Source organism: Homo sapiens, chromosome 4, assembly GCF_000001405.40.
Source record: "Homo sapiens chromosome 4, GRCh38.p14 Primary Assembly".
NCBI classification, from domain to species: domain Eukaryota; kingdom Metazoa; phylum Chordata; class Mammalia; order Primates; family Hominidae; genus Homo; species Homo sapiens.
The window spans coordinates 14175247-14199268 of record NC_000004.12 but is presented as its reverse complement, the minus strand read 5'-3'; the positions used below and the strand labels follow the sequence as shown (position 1 = coordinate 14199268).

General features: G+C 37.7%; 1 long non-coding RNA gene across 1 annotated transcript in view, besides 3 other annotated features; it reads right to left on the bottom strand.

Moving 5' to 3' along the window:
* Positions 1-24022, bottom strand: part of LOC124900670 (uncharacterized) — a 70810-nt gene that overhangs the window by 37382 nt on the left and 9406 nt on the right. The window lies entirely within an intron of this gene.
* Positions 14750-15044: a silencer, noted in NCBI's record as "tiled region #15154; K562 Repressive non-DNase unmatched - State 24:Quies". NCBI's record gives its function as "represses a minimal TATA promoter and a strong SV40 promoter by Sharpr-MPRA in K562 cells {active_cell/tissue: K562}" and the evidence as "EXISTENCE:reporter gene assay evidence [ECO:0000049][PMID:27701403]".
* Positions 20470-20764: an enhancer, noted in NCBI's record as "tiled region #1402; K562 Activating non-DNase unmatched - State 24:Quies". NCBI's record gives its function as "activates a minimal TATA promoter and a strong SV40 promoter by Sharpr-MPRA in K562 cells {active_cell/tissue: K562}" and the evidence as "EXISTENCE:reporter gene assay evidence [ECO:0000049][PMID:27701403]".
* Positions 23148-23790: an enhancer, noted in NCBI's record as "OCT4-NANOG-H3K27ac hESC enhancer chr4:14177103-14177745 (GRCh37/hg19 assembly coordinates)". NCBI's record gives its function as "activates a minimal SCP1, AML or CMV promoter by ChIP-STARR-seq in naive and primed H9 embryonic stem cells {active_cell/tissue: H9 hESC(naive and primed)}" and the evidence as "EXISTENCE:reporter gene assay evidence [ECO:0000049][PMID:30033119]".

Below are 24022 nucleotides of genomic sequence, written 5' to 3'. Positions count from 1 at the left end.
CATTATTTTTGGACTTGCAGAATGCCATTCTCATCACCTTGGACTGTAATAACAGATTACCATAAACTGGGTGACTTGAAAGACAAACATTTATTTCTCATAGTTCTGGAGGCTCAGAATTCTAAGATTAAGGAGCTAGTAGACGTGATGTCTGATGAGGACTTTTTTGTTGTTGTTGTTGTTGTTGTTGTTGTTGTTGTTGTTGTTGTTGAGACAGAGTCTCACTCTGTCACCAGGCTGGAGTGCAGTGGCATGATCTCAGCTCACTGCAACCTTGACTCCCTGTTTCAAGTGATTATCCTGCCTCAGCCTCCTGAGTAGGTGGGATTGCAGGCACGTGCCACCACACCCAGCTAATTTTTGTATTTTTAGTAGAGACGGGGTTTCACCATGTTGACCAGGCTGGTCTCGATCTCCTGACCTCGTGATCTGCCTGCCTCAGCCTCCCAAAGTGCTGGGATTACAGGTGTTAGCCACTGTGCCAGCCGATGAGGACCTTCTTTCTAGTGTGCAAATGACTGTCTTCTCCTTGTATCCTTACATGGCAGAGACGAGATAAAGGAAGTAAACTCTATCAAGTTTCTTCTTATAAGGAGACTAATCTTATCATAAGAACCACACCCTCATGACCTCATTTCTACTCAGATACCTCTGAAGCCTCCCCTTCAAATACCATCATTCAATATATACATGTTGCGAAGATATAACGTATTTAATCCATAGCATATCCAATATAACATCTCTTTCAACTAAAGAGCTCATTATATGGCAAAAATGAGTAAAAGAAGGCTTTTGTCTAAGCAATTTGCTTGTCTTATAGTATCTAATTCTTTAACCATAAACATTTGACCTAACAAAAACTGAAGCTTATGCATAGCCTCCTTCCCTGTTGTCAAGGATACTATTTAAAGCTTATTCATAGAATGACATGTAAGAAAACACCTTCCAGTATAAATGCTATCTTACATAATATAATATTTGATTTAAACCAATAACTGTCATGTGGTGTTATTTTCCCCAAGATCAAAATATAGAGGCCTGGGAACCAAGTAATGGAAGTAAAGCGGGCCATTCTTACTGTATTACACTCAATAACTCAGGGAACTTTTGAATTTCAGTGACTGAATTTCTTAAGAAAGGAATGTTTCCCTTAGGGGTCATAGCCAAGTTTCTATTAACTTAGAAGCCAAGTAAATACCCTGGACATTTGGGCTCCTCATGCCACTGAACTGACAAACATAAAAAGTGCTTAACATAAGCTTGATTTCATTTACTGGAGAGAAATTTAGTTGCTTCTAGTCAATGGAGAAAATAAGAAATATGGTTGGAACACAGGGAAATTATTACAGTAACAATACTCTCTTGCCAATAGTCCTGGTCAATGAAAGATTATGGCAACCCAATAAAGACAGAATATTTGGTAAAAATATGTGGGTCTCTCATAGAAAAAGGAGCACTATTCAAGGGGTTGAGGGAAAAGACAAGGAAATTAGACTAAGTAATAGGAAAATGAAGTTTGGATTACCAATATGTTTATCTATGCATAACCTAAGGTATTGCATTATTTATTCTACCCCTCTCACCTCTAAGCTACCATTTTTTGAATACTGCTGCTGATGCCTAACATTTACATCCCTGGTGGCAATATAACAGAATTGGAACCTCTGCCACTAGAATTGCAACTAGGGTGAGGTATATAAGACTCTTAGGACACAAAATTTAAGAAGTTATTCCCTTTTAGAGTCATAGAAGTTCACAGTGCCATCTGTGCGGAATTGGAGCCCCTGCTGTATCTTTCCTTAGGGACCTCCTGTGGATACTTCTATAATACTAGATTGACAATATACATTGTGTCCTCATATTAATTTGAGCTCTTAAAGATGAGGATCTCTACCTAACTCAAGTCAGTGTTCTTAGTGCTTATCATAGTGCCTGGCACATTGTGGACCCTCATTAAGTGTGTGTTCAATGTAAGTATGTATGGTCTCAAAAGATAAGATAAACTTTTTGTTGTTGTTATTTGTGTGTTTATATAGGTTTTATTACACCAATGTTCCCAAACCAACACCAGCACTCTTTATATGTTCTTAGTAAAGAGCAGGCATACTGCTTATGATAAAATAAACAGCATAAATTTGAAGTTAAAATATGAATAAAATATTATAGGGGAAAAGTTTAATAAAAAAGAAGACAGTGGGAAATACTGATAGTAAAACCTATATTTAAAGAATAAATCTTTTATTTACTAACTCTTGGACCTGAGGAAAGTTACTTAATTTTACTGTTAACTTCCTTTATTTGTAAAATAGTCTATATTATCTAGAATGTCAATCTTACAGAGCTGTTATGAAGAATTAAAATGAGTTTTAAGTACATGTGGAAATAATCTACCAATTTTTAAATAATATATAATTGTAAATGATTTATATTTACTTTAATGATTTTCTAATGTAGCACTAATCACAGATTACTCAGTGTGATAGACTGTTCTGCACATGTTGATCTTCTCTTTATAATAAGGGTCCCTGATGTCAGTGGAGATTCTCTCTCTCCCTCTATCCTCTCTCTTTCTCTCTCTCTTTCCTTAGTATCTATCCTTAGAATGTACCACAAGTTAAGGGCTCAATGATGTCTATTAGGTGAATTAAAGTCCACTTGTTTAGAATTTTCTGTCAAGTGTTATGCATGTTTATCTTATGAGTCATGATCCAAACCAACTAAGTGCTTAAAATTATAAAATAAAAAATAAAACCAAACGGGCAGTTAAATTGATATGACATGAAATTAAATTATATTTTGTGGTTTCAATGAAGAAAGCTGGGGGGAGTAAATACTTAGAATTTCTGCGAAAAGATAAATAACACTGAGCAGAGGGAAAGGAAGAAGGAGAGAGAAGGGAATTGGTCTAACACAATGAGAAGCTGTGGCACTGGTGCGCTCCGTGGTGCTGTCCACGGTGCTGACACGTTTCTTAATCTTGGGGAAGTTAGTCCATCCAGTTTCTCCCTGATTTTCCTAACCAGATACGTGGGGAAATCATAAATGCAGGCAAGAGAGGAAACTCTAAATAAAGAAAATGGGTAGAGGTTGTTGGTGATATCTATATAGCTCTACAATATTGAGGGAAACAAGTATTTTTTAAAAGATCATTATTTGAGCATCATTATGAAATCCAAAATTACCAAGACAGGAACCAAAATATAATATTGTTAGAATTTCAAAGTAACATAGAATAAGCAATCTGTAAGACAAGGACATAAGGACTGTGCTAGTGTTTTAGAAAAACAACTTTTCACCATGCCGAGACTGAAGTTACATCACCAATGAAAATAGTTTTTTTTTTGACAAAGAAATATTTACTTTTTAAATGTTGCATTTTTCTTTTTGAGAATTAAATTATGACTTATATTTTGAAATATACCTTATTAATTTGTATTAGTATGATGGTTTTATTAAACTCTTGACTATTATAATTCCTTTTAAATCTATAATTTATTGTGTTGGGGGGAAAATATAGGAGACCCCACCTTTCTTTCTTTATCCTGTGTCTGATACTAATGTGAGAGTTATTAGCAATAAATTGTCTCTTTCCTTCATGTGCTTTTAACATCTATTATCATTAACTGTCAAAAAAGCTAGAGGTCATACTGAAGTCCTGTTTCTGTTGAAATTGTTTTCTGCTAGGCCTTTCCAAATATATAAAATTACCTCTCTATTGGATATGGGCTACATTCTTTACAATAAAGATAAACTCCATATTTATTTTACCAAGATTAATATTTTCCTTCTTATAACTCACTACTCTCATAAAACTATTGTAGTCCACTTACTGTTACAAAAACATGCCATGCTTTTTATGTTTCCAGGTTTTTGCTGATGCTATTTTCTCTGCTCAGGATGTCTCTTTTTTTGTTTTTTGTTTGTTTGTTTTTTGTTTTTGCCTAGATAAAACTCTGGTCATTTTCAAAGACCCAGTCAAAAAGTTATCATGAAATGTACCAGCAAGAATTATTTATTTTATTTTTGATAATGTCACTGTCATAGTTCTTATTTAGTCCATGTAATTATAGCAGACAATTATAGAATATTGTACACTAGGAGAAAGCATGGACCATGGTATTAGAAGATATGGATTTCAAGTCAGCACACATTCACTCAGCAAACATTTGCTAGAACTTTTCTAGGCACTGTGACAGTGAACAGAATAGTAAAAGTACTTGCCTTCATAAAGCCAGATTTTTAGTCAAGAGTGGTACAAAATCTTAGTGTAAATGGAAAAAAATAAATTAATGAACTAATTTTAGATAGTAAAAAATATTATGAAAATAATAAACCATAGTAATAGTAATAGGCCAGTAAGCTTCCATGCATGACAAATGCTTTGCTGCAATGACTAGGAAAGGCTTCTTTGATAAAGCATGTTTATTCTGTGTGTGCGTGAGTGGGAGTGTGTGCATGTGTGTGTGTGTGTAACCAAGAGCCTGAATAAAACGAAGGAGCTAATGATGTATAAATGATACTGAAGAGGACAAGAAGGAGTTGGTGGATGAGTATCAAGAGAATGAGGATTATGGTAACAATGATTATGATAACCAATATTTGAAAGTTTAGTCTTTCAGCCACCTGATTAAAATTGTGAAATTATGAGCTCGGCATTACCACTATTTCTATTTGTGAATGAAGAAAAATAAGTGTTCAAAAATTTCAAGCACAACTTAAGTCAAAAAACACAATCAGGTTATTTAAAAAGTGATTTTGGTCTCAAGATGCCTATATGGCCCAGTAAAGGGAATTACTGTCTGAGGTCTCCTGATGGTTTCTATTTGTAACCAGCATTTTTATAACTGATAATTTACAAGTGATGTTAGGAAAAAGTGCAAAAATTAGGAAATGAATACCAAGATATAAAAAGGCATTCAAAGTATAAAGAAAAATTATTATAAATTATTGAGGGCTGAATCTACATGTACATATCCTTTTAAAAGTGTGCCTGTGTACATTCTATGCACAAAAAGACTGAGTTCATGTACATAAAAATTGAACAGGAAAACCAAAATTATTTTTAAAAAGGTTAAATTGAAGAAGTTTATAATAATGGATACAATAAAATATGGCATATAATAATAAATATAAATTTTTAAAAAATATATGTCAAAATAAAAAGTCAAGACAGGAAGAATCAAAATGTGTGTGGTGTGTGTGTGTGTGTGTGTGTGTGTGTGACAGCTATTTATACATGTGATTGTGCATTCCAATAAATTGCCTGTCTGAAATTGTCTGCAGATAAATGGTAGTGAAAAGATAACATTAGGAAAAAATTCAGGTATTTTGCTTTAGGCAAGTGATTATTTTGTGCATGTGGTTTTTTTTTTTTTTTTTTTTTTAGTTTAACATTAGTCTTGCGTATTGCTCTCTTTGATCTAAGAAAAGTTATTTTCAAATCCTGAAGCTTGCCAAGGCTTCTTTTTGAAGAATTGCTTCTCATATGAGTCATTAACCCAGGATTTCATTTTTCAGAAGGGCTCTGAATCTAGCTTTTCAATAACTAGTTGATATTACTTCTGTTTTGTTAACAGCTATGTAGTTGATGCACAGATAGTATATTTTTGAGATTTACTTGCATAGACTTAGCAGTTGTTTATGACAAAATTTTTTCTCTTTATTTATGAGGTATCTATTTATGAGGTATTTATTTATGAGACAAAAAATAATGTTCTCTTGAATGTTGATTTTTTTCTTAAGTTGAATTGCTTGGAGATGGTTTTTGTTTTAAGTAACTATTCCTCTCAATTCTGAATGATTGGTTTTAAATCATATAAAACCATCATTTGGTAGTCTATTTTCACACATATCAAAAAGTGAATGTAAGATCAGTGTATCATGATTTATTATGCTTCTAAGGAAAACCCAATATAGAATAAACAAGTTACTCAACAATATCTGTAAGTCTGGAGTTTGTAGTAATTCCACTGACTGATGCCCATGGGCTTTGAGCTATCACCAACCCTATCATCAGAGCTCACCAATAAGGAAGTATCTTGCTATTTTAGGCAGTTGGAGCCCCACTTCTGGAAGTGTCTAAGCCACTAACTTCTAGACTGAGCAGGATATAATAGCAGACATGCATTCTTTTATCTATGGTCAGGCAGGATAAACTTCATGAGATTCTATGCCCTGATATTCTGACTGTTTTTTTCACTGTGACACATTACATTGAAACCAAGTAGAATTCTTTTTCAGACAATTTCCCAATAGAACAGTAATCAATGAATTGAGGTTAACTGCATAGCATAATGTAATCAACATATATTTGAACATGAAGTATCTAACAGTAATAGCTTTAGAAAACCACAGGCAAGGGAATGTTTGATAATACAGAATAAAAAATAAGACAGAATTAGTTACTTCCGTGCATTATGGGAAAGCTTTTTCAGATGTTTTCCTTCTTTTCCTTTTTTCACAGAACAACTAATGAAGTTGTTCACTTTTCAAAGGCAGAGATTATCAATTCAAGTGGAAATGCCTCTTGTGCAGGCAGAGTCCTATATAGTCTTCAGTTTTCTAGGTTCATTTATTCTGGGTATCAGAATTTTTATTCAGTTTTATTCACATGCCAGATTATCTGAATAGTCTATCTGAATAGTCTTGTATCATCTGTCTGAAACTCCTCAGGTCTTTCATACATGCACACATAAAATACTTCATTGTGACCTTAGACACATGAGAGATCCTACATATGGAATTAAATGCATACCAATGGCTGGGTGTGGTGGTTCATGCCTGTAATCTCAGCACTTTGGGAGGCTGAGGCTGGTGAATTGCTTGAGCCCAGGAGTTTGAGACCAACCTGGACAATGTGGTGAAACCTCATCTCAACAAGAAAAAAAAAATATATATATATATATATATATATATACACAAAAATTGGCCGGGTGTGATGGTGTGCACCTGTAGTCCCAACTACTCAGGAGGTTGAGGTGGGAGGATAGCTTGAGCCTGTGAGGCAGATGTTGCAATGAGCTGAGTTTGTGCCAATGCACCCCAGCCTTGGTGACAGAGACAGAGCCTATCTCAAAAAATAAAATAAAATAAAATAAACAAAGAAATGCATACCATTAGTTAGTTAACATAAAAATGTATAAGAATTTGCAGAGAAATAAATATATAAAATAAACATACCCAGACACAAGCACATATATATGTGTATCCTACAGTCCATCTGATACTAATTGCCAATTTTGCATCACAACTACATTGGTGAAGAGACTAATATTAGCAGAGGTACTACAGGTAGAAAGAATATTTAGCGAGTACTGTCATGACTAATGCATAAATTAATGAAATGTCTGATGTGATGAACAAAATAAGATGTGCCAGTGGGTGATGTATGACATGCAACAGGCAGAATTTGAAATCTGACTGTGTTTAGAAGTGAAGGAAAGAGAAACTTCAGGAAATGGCTTTGAATTATTTGTCTTCCCCACCTAAAGAGCCAAGATGTTAGATAGATATAAAGTCTATCTAAGAAAAAAATAGAGGCTATTCTTCAGCTGCAAAGATTGCTATTTGAGAGTTCAAGAAGCAGAGAGAATGTGGAGAAATAGGAATGCTTTTACACTGTTGGTGGGAATATAAATTAGTTCAACCATCGTGGAAGACAGTGTGGCAATTCCTCAATGATCTAGAACCAGAAATACCATTTGATCCAGCAATCTCATTACTGGGTATATACCCAAAGGATTATAAATCATTCTACTATAAAGACACATGTACACGTATGTTTATTGCAGCGCTGTTCACAATAGCAAAGACTTGGAACCAACCCAAATGCCCATCAACGATAGATTGGATAAAGAAAATGTGGCACATATACACCATAGAATACTATGCAGTCATAAAAAAGGATGAGCTCATATCCTTTGTAGGGACATGGATGAAGCTGAAAACCATCATTCTCAGCAAACTACCACAGGAACAGAAAACCAAACACTGCATGTTCTCACTCATAAGTGGGAGTTGAATAATGAGTACGCATGGACACAGGGAAGGGAACATCACACACCAGGGCCTGTTGGGGGGTTGGAGGCTAGGGGAGGGGTAGCATTAGGACAAATACCTAATGTAGGTGACGGGTTGTTTGGTGCAGCAAACCACCATGGCACATGTATACCTATATAACAAACCTGCACATTCTGCACATGTATCCCAGAAAAAGTGTAATTAAAAAACAAAGAATTCACAAGAAAGTCTGATGTTAAAGAGGACTGTGGGAAAGAATACCAACATTTGCCCTGAGTATATTCCAGGACTACTTTAATATTAGGAGATTAAGATAGATTGCAAGAAAAAATGGCTCTACAATCTCAATGCTTAAAATAACAAGCACATAGTTTTTATTCATGTTACATGTCTAAGCAGGTCAGCAGAGAGATGGGAAAAGGTGGGGAATTTTCACATTGAAAAGTGGCTTTTTCTGCCACTCAGAAACCTGGCCTGATGGAGCAGCCACTGTCTCAAACATTGGCAGTAAACATACCACAGAGAATGAGCGAACTGTAGAGTCTCAATCTAGTGATTAAGAGTTTGTCTCTTATCACATTTTCTCACAATCTTCTGGTTAGAAATATTCACACAGCCTCACCTAATTGCAAAAGCATCAGAAGTTCTGTTATGCCATGGGCTCAAAAACAAGAAAGAAATATCCATTAAGTAGAATTTGAGGCTACTACAACTTCCATGCTTCACTTTTGTGAACATTCCATTTTTACCTATAAATAAACGTATTCTTTGATTTGTATTAAAGCTTTTGTCTGGCAAACACTGATTTCCTGAATGAAAGTGATTTTTCTTTGTTTATATTCAGCAAGAAAATATATAGCATCTCTGCTAGGAGAGTTGTCTTTATTTTCTAGTCTAGAGAAAATATTCTATTCTATAGAGTCTATTCTATCAATTCTATTCTATTCCATAGAGTCTGATCCAATTGTTAATATTAGCAGAACCAAAAAAGGACCAAAGCTTCTATAATTACAGAATGCCAATCCCTTGATATTCACTAGTGCTTGTCGTCGATCTGCATGATGACACGCATTTACAAAGAAAAGAGAAATTTAGTCTTTATCCTAAGAGCTGACACTGCAATACTTGCTGAGTCTCAGAAATAACCTCTTCTTCCAATAGATACCCTTTTCTGGGGATAGACATGTGATGTGGTAGAATGAACCCAGGATTGAGGATTTAAAAGGCTTGAATTTCATTCCTTGCTATATCACTGACTAACTGTGGAATCTTGAGCAAAACAATTTACTTCTCTTTGCCTTTTTTCTCTCTGCAAAGCCAGAATAAATGTTTTAAACATAGAAGACATGTAATACAATTTTATATGGTACCTTCATCCTTTCCTTTCCTAACTTTCCTTCAACCCAACTAGCACTTCAGCTATACCTTTTCTTTGTAATTTTAACTTCGCGATAATAATTTTTGCAAATATGCATGAGATTACATTGTCAAGAAATAACTTATTTAATTTACTATAACACTTGGAAATCCTGTATCAGATACTATATCAAATGGAAATCCATTTTAGAGATGAAGAAACTGGAACTTCGAAATAGATTAATCAATTCGTACTATTTTCTGCCTCGCCAGGTGGTTGGGATGATGACATTTAGCAATCTAAACTATAGCACTGTAAATGGTAAACTACTATTTCCTTATGAATTATGAATCCCTTTCAGGTAGAATCTATATTTGCTTTACCCCTTCATTCTTACAGAACCAAGTTCAATGCCTGGTAATGGTATGAGTTTGAGAAGCCAACGAGTCTTTGACAACCCTCTTCCAGGCTCAAGAAGGTCTATATATGAAGACACATATATTAATAGTAATGCTTCAGCTATCTGTATACTTACAAGGATTATGGAAAGCCAGTGTGATCAAGGAAAATAGCAATCTTTTTTTTTTTTTTCGAGACAGAGTTTTGCTCTTGTTGCCCAGGTTGGAGTGCAGTGGCGCAATCTCAGTTCACTGAAGCCACTGCCTCCAGGGTTCAAGTGATTCTTCTGCCTCGGCCTCCCAAGTAGCTGGGATTACAGGCGTCTGCCACCATGCCTGGCTACTTTTTTTGTATTTTTATTAGAGACAGGGTTTCTCCATGTTGGCCGGGCTGGGCTCAAACTCCAGACCTCAGGCGATCCAACTGCCTCGGCCTCCCAAAGTGCTGGATTACAGACGTGAGTTACTATGCCCAGCCGAAAATAGCAATCTTCAGTCACACACACACACACACACACACACACACACACACACCTGTATTCGAATTCTGGTTCTGCTTCTAAAATCTCAGTGTTCTTAAGCAACATGGACTTGATTTTAGATTGAAAAGAGCAAATAATGTATATAAGATACTTTGCACAGCTTTTGGAACACAGTGGAACCCAATAAAAATAAATGGTAGAACTCATCCTTTCTATGATTATTTTAGATGTATATGATGTATATGAAAGGAATTGATATAAGGCATTAAAACAAGGCATTCATAAATGGTGATAGAATCACAATTATACAATGTATTGGATTAGTGGTTATTTCCTTTCTTCCCGACCCAGGATGTCTATATTCTTGCATTTGCTATGCAAGTATTGACAGTTTTTTATATATTGAGCTCAGATGGTTTAGGAAGAAAGATTTATACCACTGTCATAACTAAAATATATTCACAGAGATTAAGGAAGCTACTTGTAGAACAACTTACACAAACCAAAAAAAAAAAAAAGAAAAGAAAAGAAAACCAAAAACCTCAAAAAGGAAAGAAGAAAAGCACTCACTTTTTGGGAATCCCCTTGAACAGAAATTACCCATGCAAATCCATTCTTTAGATAGCAATTCTGTATTAACTTGCTTCAGGTTCTTTATAAACCTGTATCACCTATATTCAGCCTTGGGATTTTTTCCATTTCAGTGAGTCCTTTACTTTCTGAAGGAAAGAACACCCACACAGGGTGGGACAGAACTACTAAAGATATTTTGGTCTGCTCTCCTGCCTGGGAGCAGGTGTTGCACTGAAATTGTCTAGCCAAAATCCAAATCATAGTATTTTAGGCTGATTATAAACAAGATAATTTTCAGTTGGCCTTTGATTGTTGTGTTTGTTTTGGCTGGCCATTAAAAGCATCAAGTGGAAATGTGTTAAGCATTGAAGTAAGAAGATAAGCATTAAGTCAGGAAAGTTGATGAGAGAGTCACCTCTCCTTTAGGGCCTTCAGTGTAGGAATGGGGGGGCCTAAGGAAATTTGTATGAAACATTTTCTCTCCCTTTGTATTCAGGCGAGAGAAGGTTATAATAAAGTCCCAAGATTCAGGTCATGTAGGACAAAGATTCTGGAATCAGATGGTCCCGGTGTCAGCCCTGATTTTGCCCATTACTAAGTCTATGACTTTAGGGGAAAGTCACCTAACGTCTGTCGTCTTATTTATTACTGACTTCCCCCAACCTTGTACCGTTTCTAAAATACAATAATGCTGATTAGCTACTTTTTGATGTAGTAAATGAGTGAATATATATTTATTCTTCTCCTCTGTAATGTGGGACAATAGTTATTTCTTCCTTATAAGAAATAATAAAAGTGAAATGTGCTGTAAAAGGCATACCTAATAAAAGAAAAGGAAGGTAGTGGCAATGCTATGTTAGAAGACTTGTGACTTGAAGAAGAGTAGGTTGTGTAGTTGGCTTTGGTAAGAAGGACTGGTTGATAATTGGTGGTGAATGGACAGAACATTGGACTATAAACAGTAAAATTAGTGTTCTTCCACTTATTAATGAAACTGCAACTTTTTTCATCTTTAAAGTAGGGATAATAATTGAAGCTTTCTTATAAGTTTGCTATAACAATTTTTGAAAACTTCAGGTAAAGTACCTTGAATAGTGACTACACGTATGCATAGTAAGCTTTCAATAAATATGTTTATTATCATTATTTTTATCCTGAGCTCTGAGAGGTAATCCAATGGATAGCCTCACACATCAGCATCCTATAGAGATTGCCTTCACTAAATACAGCTTCTGCCCAAACTCACATCCTCTTCCTTGGACTGTCTGCACTTGATAACTGCTCAATGTAAGGATAGAAACTAGACTTGGATTTCTGATTCTTAACTCGAGACAATGCTGAAGGATCATCCAGTCTTAGCGCTCCCCAGAGGGTGGGCTGAGGCTTCTGATGGGCCTGCGTCACTAATCTTTACCTACTGCATTTCCCTAGGAACTTGATCTACCACATTATTATAACTCAAAATGTCCGTCCCCTCTACATCAGCCCCCAGAAGGAACAAACTTCAGAAAGTCTAAGTGTCATTCAGGCAATGCGGAATAAGCCATTTATCTGTTTTTCTGCTTTCCGGTCCATTTCCTGTATCTCTGAATCTTGAACACCTCCCTCTTGCTTCCAGTCTATAATGTAACTCTTAGAAATGATATTTGACAAAAAAAGTCATATTTTATTCAATTCTCCCTGTACTTGTTTCCCCAGTCATGCAATTTCTATGAAACCAAAAGTCAAATTAATTTTTAAAATTCATTAATGAAGTAATCATATATAAAGTGAGTAACTCCTCACATACACCTTTCTTCTAACATTAGCATGTTTCCTGACCTATTGTATCAAGATCTTATTGGTTAGACTGTCAATGATTGCCAGGTGTTATAAATGTATCTGTTGTTTAGAGATGATATTTATAACTTGAGGAATATAATACAAAGTAATTGTAAAAGAATTGAGAATTTTACAAGAGATTTCATAAAATTGATGAAAGTAATAAAAATGATCTTGGAGAAGGCCCCAGTTCTCATAAAATCATTGACTGATAAGAAGATGGAAGAGTTAAACCAGACAATAATTGAGGAAGAGACAAACTACAAAGATAACCTAAAAGTATCTCCAGGGAGCATAATGTGACTGTTAAAAGATTAAGAAGAGACCTTCAAAAAATGGGTGAAGTACTAAGTACTTTTGAAAACAGTACTTTCTTTAAGGTGATGCTTAAGGTAATGTTGGAAAATGAAGGACATTTTATCCTGATCTCATATGTGTATAACAAAAATTATTTACTCACCTTCAAAACAGTAAAGTCTGCTTGATCCGTTCTTTGCTTATTCTAAGAATTAGATCATGATTGCATTTGCAACTTACATTTTTAAATAAGATAAGATAAACTTATAATCGTTAGTTTGATTTATCATGCATTTTCTCAGTCAAACTTGCTTTTACTATTTTTTCTAAATAGGTATCTCCATTTTTGTGGGTTCCCTTTAAATAACCTTTTCCTGTATGAATTATCCTGAGATAATGAGGTGCCCCTCTCCTCCCCTGAGTTGATCTCCTGCTTCCTCAGCATGTCTTTATTTCTACTGCTCCTCTAGACCATATATTACCTCCGTTCAGGGACTGTTAAGGTGTTACATCTTAGCATCTTAAACCTTATCATCCAGGCTAAGAGCATCCTAAAAAACCCAGACCTTTACTATTGATCTTGCTCTCAGCATCGGAAACCTGGCACTAGGAACTAAATTTCTTTCTCCCTGGCTCTTTATAAACAAAAATATTATTATTTTCATGAATATGAATAAGAACAAAAGGACTTGCAGGTGCATAGCACTGAAAAATGAGCATAGGCCAGGCACGGAGGTTCATGCCTGTAATCCCAGCACTATGGGAGACCAAGGCAGGCAGATCACTTGAGCCAAGGGTTCAAGACAAATCTGGGCAACATGGCAAAAACCCATCTCTACAAAAAATACAAAAATTAGCCAGGCCTGGTGGTGTGCACCTGTAGTCCCAGCTACTCGGGAGGCTTGGAAGGGAGGACCCCTTGAGCCCGGAAGACGGAGGTTGCATTGAGCCATGATTGCACCACTGTACTCAAGCCTGCATGACAAAACAAGACCCTGTCTCAAAAAAAAAAAAATTGCATAGATGTACTTTGTATATATGGAATCTGTTTATATAAATATATGTATGTGTATATATGTGTATATATATGTGTGTATATATATGTATATATATAAAAAATACCCCCACAGATTTCTATTTTTTATCATTTAAAATTCCATGAAAAAGACATATTCATATGGGTGTGTGAAAATGTTATGTCATACAAATTTAGTAATTATAATCTAAGTGCTTTTAATTCCCCCAAATCCTGAACCATAATACGGCTAAGTTACTAGAGTGACTGTGGGAATGTGGTAATTTACCAGAATTGGCTAAGAAAAAAGATATTCTGCCAATTAGATCTTGTTTGCATGACAAACCGCCTGGACATTCATCAGATTAAAACAATGTTCAAAGTGAAATCCTATTTGTGTGACAAACAACAGAGCATAGTCAGAACACACACTAGTGCTTAGGATCTGGTAAAAATTCTGCAGGAATAAAAAGCAGCAAAGGAAAGTGGGTACCAAATTTAGGGTAAAACATGGAGGTCAGAGAGAGACATAGGACTTTTGAATAAAATGAGCCTGGTATACAAGTTTCAGCAAAAAGCATTCAAAACAGCATGTTTATGGTTTTTATCTTTATAAAATGAGAACAAAGTCTAAACTAAAAGAGGAAAGGGAAGGAGAGAAGGAGAGAGGAAGAAACAAGGAGGGGATCGACAAGTAGGGGGAGAGAGAGAGAAGAGATCTTTCTTCCCTGGAAAGGAGATGCAGGCAGCTCCCTCCCAGGTCTGAAGGGAGATAATTCACCAGCCCAGCAGTCAGTAGCTAAAGGGTTTGGAAGGCTGCAGGAAGCAGATGTGCTTGGCTATAAAACAAGCATTGCTCGCCAGGTCCCGGCATCTTCCCAGACTCATGTGTAACTTGCAGACATATGTGGCTAATGATAATGAGGGACAGACAGGAGCTGGGAGCTCCAAATCAGGGTCATACACAGAACCCAGCTGTCTCATATATCCTCAGGCTTCTTAAGCTCTCTCCTTCTAGGAATTTGAGGAAGAAACTTTGGAGTCTGCCTTATCCATGCCTTGGCCCAGTGTTAAAGAGTCAGTTTGTCATCACGGAGAGAATATGAGCTCTGGATTCAGGCAGAAGTGGCCCTTATAACTTACCAGGTCTGTGGCCTTGATTATCTTATCTTCTGAGTTCCAATGTCCTCATTTAAAAATGGGGACAAGAGTATATTTTTCGTGTGGATTAAAAGAGATATAGGTGAGCATGCAGGGTACACAGTATGTGTTGAGTACAGGGTAGGCCACTTCCCTGTCTTGGATATTCGCAGGGCCTGTCTTTGGTAGGGTTATGGCTGCCAAATTTAGGTTTCATGTTGTTTTGTAAAGGAGATATCTAATCTGCTTCCTTTCCTCTTTAATTATGAAGTAGTATTTATCATGCGAGGCAGCAGGAAGAATTACACAGAAGCAGCTCTGAACTGAGAACCAAGAACTATCCTTTCTTCTTCCTTGGGCACTAGCATAACTTTGGGAAACTTCCGTCTCTGTTTTTCAGTACCCTCATTTGTTTAAGTCGGAGTTCTCCAGGAAGACAGAACTAGTAGGATGTGTGTGTGTGTGTGTGTGTGTGTGTGTCTGTTTGTGTGTGTGTGTGTATTATAAGGAATTGACTCACACAATTACAGATGGTGACAAGTTCCAAATATGTAGTTGGCAAGATGGAAAACTAGAGGAGCCTATGGTGCAGTTCCAGTGTAAGTTTAATGGCCTGATAACCCAATGGTGTAAGTTCCAGTCTGAAAGCCAGTGGAGTCAAGACCCAGAAAGAGCCAGTGTTTCAGTTCAAGTCTGAAGGGAGGCAAACAACATGTCCCAGCTCAAGGCAGTCAGTCAGAAGGAATTCCCTCATACTCTTAGGAAGGTGAGGATTTTTGTTCTAATCAGGTCTTCAACTAATTAGCTGAGGGCCTGTACCCATTAAGAAGGACAATGTGCTTTACTCAGCCTATGAATTCCAGTGTAGTATTCCATTCAGAATCTCCCACATGCACATCAAGAACAACGTTTGACCAAACATCTGAGTACCCTGTGACCCAGCCATGTTGACAAACAGAATTAACCATCACATCAACCATACCATGTGGGAGGAAAGAGGAGGGTAGAAGGTGTGTAGAGTTCAGGAATGTAGAATTTAACATCCTGGGAATCCACTGATACTTAGCATCCTCCAGGAAACACGGTGAAACATCTAGATTCTGTAGAAAACTTGCAAGGACTTAGAGGAAGTTGGCATTGTGTTGCCCTGTGAAGAAACTGGGCATGAACTTTCTAAGAGGAATTAAACCCTTAACAATTAATAGGGTTATTATTACTGTTTAATTGTGTGTCTACTATGGGCCAGGCATTTTATGTACATTATTCTTCACAGTGACCCGCAGAGCTGGGCTTCATCATGTCTCTCTGAGATGAGAAAATGGAGGCTTGGAGGGGCTAAGTCATATGCCCAAAAGCCACTTAGCTGGTTAGTGACTGTGCTGGGACTTGCCTACCACCAAAGCTTCTACTCCTTTTACACTGTGGCTAAGTTCCCTGCTGCATGGGTTGTGTTCTGGTGCCTAAGACATTGCCTAGAAAATGGCAGGCACTCAACAAACATTTGTCAAGTGGACTATGTACAGCACCCACACCAGCTTTATCCTCCCTTTGTTGTCACTAGCTCTCTCACTGGAACATCTGGTCAACGCTGCTCACCTGTTCACATTTGCTCTGTTTCTGCATCAATCTTAAACAGATAAAGAAAAGTTTCTAAATCTCAGCCAAATCAGCTGATAAGGGCTGGATATTTCTTCGCACAAAAATGAAGATTTCCCTGTCACAGAAAAGGACTCTAGAAACCGTAAAACCCCAGAACTGTAGTGTTTCAAATTCATTTCCCTGTGGGACACTCAAAACAAGACTCATGCTTCCTCTCTGGTTTTCCTTTCCAAAGAGGCACACCGCGTGCTGTGAAGTGCTCTTCTACATGACAAACACAAAAATAATTGACATCAACTGGGCCTGAGTTTGCATTCTGGCTCTTCACTTGGGGCTTACGAATGTGAGCAAAGAAATCAAATTTTTAGAATGTTTTTCCCATCTGTACATTTTCTGATTGTGTCTAGTCTATACGGCTGCTGTGAGAATTTTTTTTTTTTTTTCTTGAGACATAGTGGAGTCTCACTCTGTCTCCAGGCTGGAGTGCAGTGGTGCGATCTCAGCTCACCACAACCTCCGCCGACCAGATTCAAGCGATTCTCCTGCCTCAGTCTCTGAGTAGCTGGGACTACAGGCATGTGCCACCACGCCCAGCTAATTTTTGTATTTTTAGTAGAGACAGGGTTTCACCATGTTGGCCAGGATGGTCTCGATCTCTTAACCTTTTGATCCGCCTGCCTCGGACTCCCAAAGTGCTGAGATTACAGGCATGAGCCACCATGCCCAGCCTGCTGTGAAGATTTAACGTGCAGATTAATGCAAAGTACATAGCACAGTGCCTGGCACATGAGATGTGAGGATAAAGAATGATCTACTAGCTATTATTATTGCCTAATAACAACCTTTAGTTTCTGTCTACACAATATTTTTTGCTTCTCAAACAAAACAAAACAAAAATTTCTAGTGCTAACATTATTCTAAATGCTCCCTGAGTTGTATACACTTTTTGGATTCTGCATTAGAATGGCTCCCCTTGCCGGGTCTCTTTTGCTAGTTGAGTTGGTTCTCTCACTTCATGCCCCTCTTTTGGTTTCTGACTCATACAGAGTCAGCAAAACACTCAAATCCTATGATTCTCACGTCCCCATACCTTGCACTGTCTGCCAGTCTTGGAAGCTGCGTTCTCCATATTTACATAGTGATTTGTCACTCTCTCTATTAAAAAGTTCCCTTTTATCTGAATTAACAGCGTAATTGTCCCAGCTCACCACTTCCAAAGTAACTCCAATAAATAGAAACCACAACATTTGGAAATCACCTCCAGCCCCCACTGTGCAAGCCTTACCCGGAAATCTCCGGCAGCTGCATGTTTTCCTAATGACCTTCAGTTGCTCAGAGAATGTATAATTCATTCCCTACCTATCTTCACTAATCCCACTTTCCTAAAATAAATATTAACTCAACTTATCTGCTAAAACAAGCCCAAATCAAGTCTCTTATCAAATGAACTCAGAGGCAGAACAGAAAGGTGAGAGTCTGGTCAATAGGAAATTGCCTTCATTGGAAAGGCAGGGCTAAAACTCCCTTTGGCCTTCAGTTTTATTCAATCTAGTTCAGCAAACCTTTATTGAATACTCTATATGCAGGCACCAACAGTTCCATAGAGGACAGAAAATTGGATTCAAAGTTAGGAGGCCTGATATCAAAAGAATTGGATTCAAACTCTATCTTTACTCTTGACCAATTGTGAACATCAGGAAAGTCACTCTGAGGCTCAGTTGAGCTGTGATAATAACATCATTACTATTACCAGAATCCCTCAACACCCTCACTGCCTCCCTAATAGACATAGCTTTTAGTAAACACTCTCTGAATTTGCCAATGATAAGAGAGTGAGTGTCTTGTGGAATATGAAAAAAATTGACATCTTCATGCATGGATGGATCATGAGAGTGGATGTTGAAATGATTCTACCTCAATTCAAAGGAGAAAGTTGTTTGTTTTATTTCATGAAAATGTATAAGTGTCATTGACCATTGGAATATCTTTCATAATCCAATTTTATTTTAGCCCACTTCAGTCCTAGTACTCTAACAACCCACTTGCTTGCTGCTAGCACATAAAACTGGAAGATCATGCCAAGAAATGTGACCTGAACCTCAAATTCAGAGGCTTATGCTCCCACGGAACCAATCTGGTGATGTTGCCTTTTTGTTTGAGCTTCCTTCTGCCTTAGGCCAACTGGATCATCCTGGCACCAGGGATGCTATGTTGAGCCATAAATACCTGACCCATTTTCTAGCAGCAACAGGCAAGGGGAGAACCAAGATGACATAGATGACACATGGGGAATGGTTCCAGTTTTGTCCTGCTAAACCACAACTACAAAGGTAATTTTAAAATGTTCTATGAGAAAAGGGCATGCGGGATTCCCTGTGTTGAGCTTCATCCCAGTGAATTACACTGTCTGAACAGATAATAAATATTTTCAGATAAACAAAAGGAGTGGGAATAGCAAGCAGAATACTAGGAAAGCTTTAAGACAACTGCTGATTGACCTGTACCTTCAACCTGGCTACTCAATATTGTTCCCAATGTGTGGATTCCCCTTGTATCACCCTACCTAATAAAATTCTCTCCTGTTTCCTCCACAGGGAGGTGATGAACAACTTAGCAAATGTTTGTGAAAGGGCAAGGTAGATTGTCAAATCCTGAAAATGCCAGCTATCAGTGGCATTCTTAGCAACTGGGATAGATGCTATAAGGGGTAGAAGATAAAAATCTCATGACCCCCAGCTCTGTATGAGTGAGAGCCAGTGAAAACTGGCAATAGGATCTCCAACAAGAAAAATCACTGAGCATTGTGCAAGAGGATTAATAACAGAAAAAAATGCAAATGTTTAGGAAAATGCCTGTGCTATTAAGAGAGTCAAAACCCAATGGGGTAATTATGGAGAAGAGGATACAAATGTCTTAGAAATCGTCAAGGAAAATCATTTTTTTGCCCTCTGCAGGGACTTACCAATGCATTCTCTGTAAATCATCATTAAACCTGCATGGGCCTAATGAGGTAACTCCACATCATCCAGTTGTTAAACAAACAAAAAGGTCTGCTCCCACTTTCCAAAGAGCTCTCCAGCCCACACACCTTTACTTGAGTTCAAATTTAGGAATTAAATACTCTCACTTCTTGTACCAGACTGTATTCAAATCTTTGATTTATGGAGTTGGGAACCAAGAGGTAAAAAGAGAGGGTATATTAATAGTTTATTTTTCTCATTGGCATCTATTCAGTAATGCTGTTTTTCATAAAGAGAATATAAACTGGAAACACATTTCACTGTTCTAAACACTTGGGGGATAAAACAACATAGTAGAAAAAAATAGTAAAAATGCTAGAATGAAAAAGACGAAATTGTGTAGGTGTGTCTCATGTTATAGGTTTTTGCCTCTTCATTATTCACTGTTAATTTTTAAATATATTTTGATAGCATAGGAATAAACTAACTCCTATTAGTTTATTTTTTTGTTCTAAAAATCTTTGATAGACTGTATGTGACCCAGGAGTTTCAAGTTGGCTTTCTGCTGCTGGAGTGTACCATTCCTGTATATTCTAAGGGGCACTATATATGGAAAGACACAAAAATGGAAAGTACCACCTTGAGACAATGGGTACTTGAAATGTATTATTTTAAAAATACTCCCCAAAAGTTTTCAGAAGTGGACAATCAGACTATATGATGAGTGTGGCCACTTGGATTCTTAAATTAATAACACTGGTGTATGAAATTTTACTCCTGAAATCCTAGTAATGCACAAAAAACAAAAGACAAAGGAACATGAAGGTTTTATCCAAGACCATTTTTCTTATGTTAGGAAGCTTTTACAAGGCCTCAGTCTCATGATGTAAATTCAGCAGAATGAAAGACTTTTAGATACAGTGAATTCAGCCAGGACTCCTGTCCTTGCCCCTCCCTTGCTTCTTTCTCAAGGAATAGAAACCATTTCCTCTTGGGCCTTTGTCAGGAAATGCAGATGACTAACCAAGCAGGAAGTGCCTCTACCTTTGACATTTTACTTCTGACACCCCGGTTACAGAGATAACAACAGCTGCTACTCTGTCAAAATGCATAAAAGCTAAGTCTTCTCCAAATCACCAAATAGCAAAAATTACAATTTTAATTCTACTTGCATGACCCATTTATTTAGGCCACTTTTTCCCTACTAGTTTATTTTTTGTTGTTCTAAAAATTTTTGGTGGACCTCATTTGTCACAGAAGTTTCAAGCTGGCTTTCTGCTGCTAGAAAGCAGTGTACGTCGAAAGGGGTGGTATGGATGGCAAGTCACAAAGATAGAAACTACCACCTTGAGACCAGTGGGTACCTGAAATGGCATTAATTTGAATGTTTCAGTTCTGCCTAAATGCTTAGTCAAAGCCTGCATACTGGAAAGACGGCATTCAGAAAAAAATGACAAAGGAGACCAAGACTACACTGGTGTGCTGAAACCAGCTCACACTGGGTCACACAGGCAAGCAAGACCAATTGAATGCAGCTCTTCCCAATTCCTTGTTCAGTGACTTCTTGATGTTAGCTAGAAATGAGCCATGTGAAAGTATTCACACCATGGAGATCAGTAAACATCACAAATTAGAGGGTTTTGTTTTGTCCCAGAAAGTCAGTTGTTAAATTTTTACTAGCACAGGACTTCCCTGGCTAAAGGCCTGAGGAAAGTCCATGTTTAAAGAACCATCTGGCTCTCCAAAGCCTTAGAAAGGCCTCTTCTTTCTTGTGATTTCTCAAAGAAGTGCCAGCAAGAAAGGAAGATCCATCCTGTGACTGTTTTTCTTTCCATGCTCTAAAACAACCAAAACTAGAGTTCTGGCCAATTACCTCCTCTCTTTGCTTTGTGTGGTGTATAAACTTCAAAGTGGTTAAATTCCTTTAGCCATACAACTTTTTACACCTTTAATTGTGCTACAATCTGGCCTGTCAAGTTCTGGAATCATTCTGTGAAGACAGTATTTAAATTTTCCTTTTCTTCTGCTTTACCTATCAGGCCCTAACTTTCATTCCTTTCTAAGCAAAGCTTCCCCAAATTGGTTTTCTCTCCTGCTCCACTGACTCACCTTCCATCCCTCCTTACTCCCAGAGGTCAGCCTGCCTCAGTTTGAGCCTCTGATGCTAGTCAATAATTGTTGCTTCTCCCTGGGGCCATGGCTGGCCCATATCCTCTTCTTTCTCTCTTTTGGGAGTTATGTCCCTAAAATTCTTCCCTTACCAGCACAGCTATTCTAAGCTGTGAGTCTCAGCCTACATTTCTGAATGATCTTCTCTCCCTTCTTGATTGGGTTGTTTTTCTACCCCAAGTCCCTAAATGCAAGGCTTTTCAAGGAGTCTGAGATGAGGATCAGCCATTGAATCCACATGGAAATCTCTTTTATAAAAATCAATGTTTGTATTTGTAAATATGATATTCTGTATTCTTTACAGATCCTTTTAAAGTAAGAAATGTTATGTGGAACAACAATTTCCACTGATGACCTCTCCAGTGTCCTCGGTTTCCCAACGTATCATATAGCAGCGGTTCTCAAACAGGGATAATTTGCCCCTGAAGGGACATTTGACAAAGTTGGCTATTTTTTTTTTTAATTTCACAACACGGAGGATGTGCTACTAGCTTCTAGTAGTTAGGCCTGATGGATACTGCTAAACATCATACGATGTACAGAACAGCCCCACAAAATAATGACTTCTCTGGCATAAAATACCAGTGTGCTGAGGTTGAGAAACCCTGACTTAGGATGACTCTCATTGCAGTTTCCCATAGCAGTTCACTGACTAATGGGAATAAGAGTTGGGTGGTAGCTAAAGGGTACTTAAAGAAACACTTGTTCTTGAGATACATAAGCACAATTGCATTTTGTTGATTTCTTTAGTCACACTTGTTTAACCACTCAATACTTCAAAGGCATAAGGTTTGTTGTACTCGTGTAATTATCTCAACCTTGGGAAAGGAGGGTACCCCATTAGATTTCCGAAAAGTCTTGGTTCTGACCCTCAGTCTTCACTGAGTTCACAGCAGATGAGCAACTCAATCCGTGGATGTGTTTATAATATGCAATAAATAAGCCATAGTATTAGAACTATGTGTATGCATGCAGAGGCAGGAATCTGCATCCTTAACAAGTATGTCAAATACATCACAAGCTTACCCACATTTGGCAATTACTAATTTAGGGGAAATATAAGTCAGTGCCTAGAATCAAAGAGCTCAAAGATTGAACAACAGTTATGCTCCTAACTGCTTGAGTGATTGAGTCTTTGCTAAATCTCTTTCAGTTTTCCTGTCTGCAAAATGAGAATACTAATAAAACACTCCTCTTGGGATTCTGAAAACTAAATGAGGTAAGGCAAGCAAAGTGCTTAACAAAAATGCCTAGCAGCCAGTAAGCACTTAGCAAATATGAGATGTTTTTAGTAAACCAACCTTAGGTTTTTTTTTCTTTGGTTGGAGAAAAAAAATGGAAGATAGATTATTTTAATATGAGGGGATTATGGATTATCATCAAATAACCTACTTTTATAAGTACTCCATCAATGTTTGCTGTACTGAATTTAAATGAACTGATTTTAGTAGAGTATACATTTTGTCAGGCCTCTGTGCCCAAGCCAAGCCATTGCATCCCCTGTGACTTGCACGTATATGCCCAGATGGCCTGAAGTAACTGAAGAATCACAAAAGAAGTGAAAATGCCCTGCCCCGCCTTAACTGATGACATTCCACCACAAAAGAAGTGTAAATGGCTGGTCCTTGCCTTAAGTGATGACATTACCTTGTCAAAGTCTTTTTCCTGGCTCATCCTGGCTCAAAAACCACCCCCACTGAGCACCTTGCGACCCCCACTCCTGCCAGCCAGAGAACAAAACCCCTTTGACTGTAATTTTCCTTTACCTGCCCAAATCTTATAAAACGGCCCCACCCCTATCTCCCTTAGCTGACTCTCTTTTCAGACTCAGCCCACCTGTACCCAGGTGAAATAAACAGCTTTATTGCTCATACAAAGCCTGTTTGGTGGTCTCTTCACACAGACGCGCATGAAATTTAGTGCCGTGACTCGGATCGGGGGACCTCCCTTGGGAGATCAATCCCCTGTCCTCCTGTTCTTTGTTCCGTAAGAAAGATCCACCTACAACCTCAGGTTCTCAGACAGACTAGCCCAAGAAACATCTCACCAATTTCAAATCCGGTAAGCGGGGAAGTACCCCAACCCCTTATCTCCGTGTCTCTACCCCTTCTCCGCCTTTCTGGGGGGCAAAAAACCCCCCAACCCCTTCTTCTTCACCCTTAGAGGCAAGTCCCGCTTTTCTGAGGGAGGGA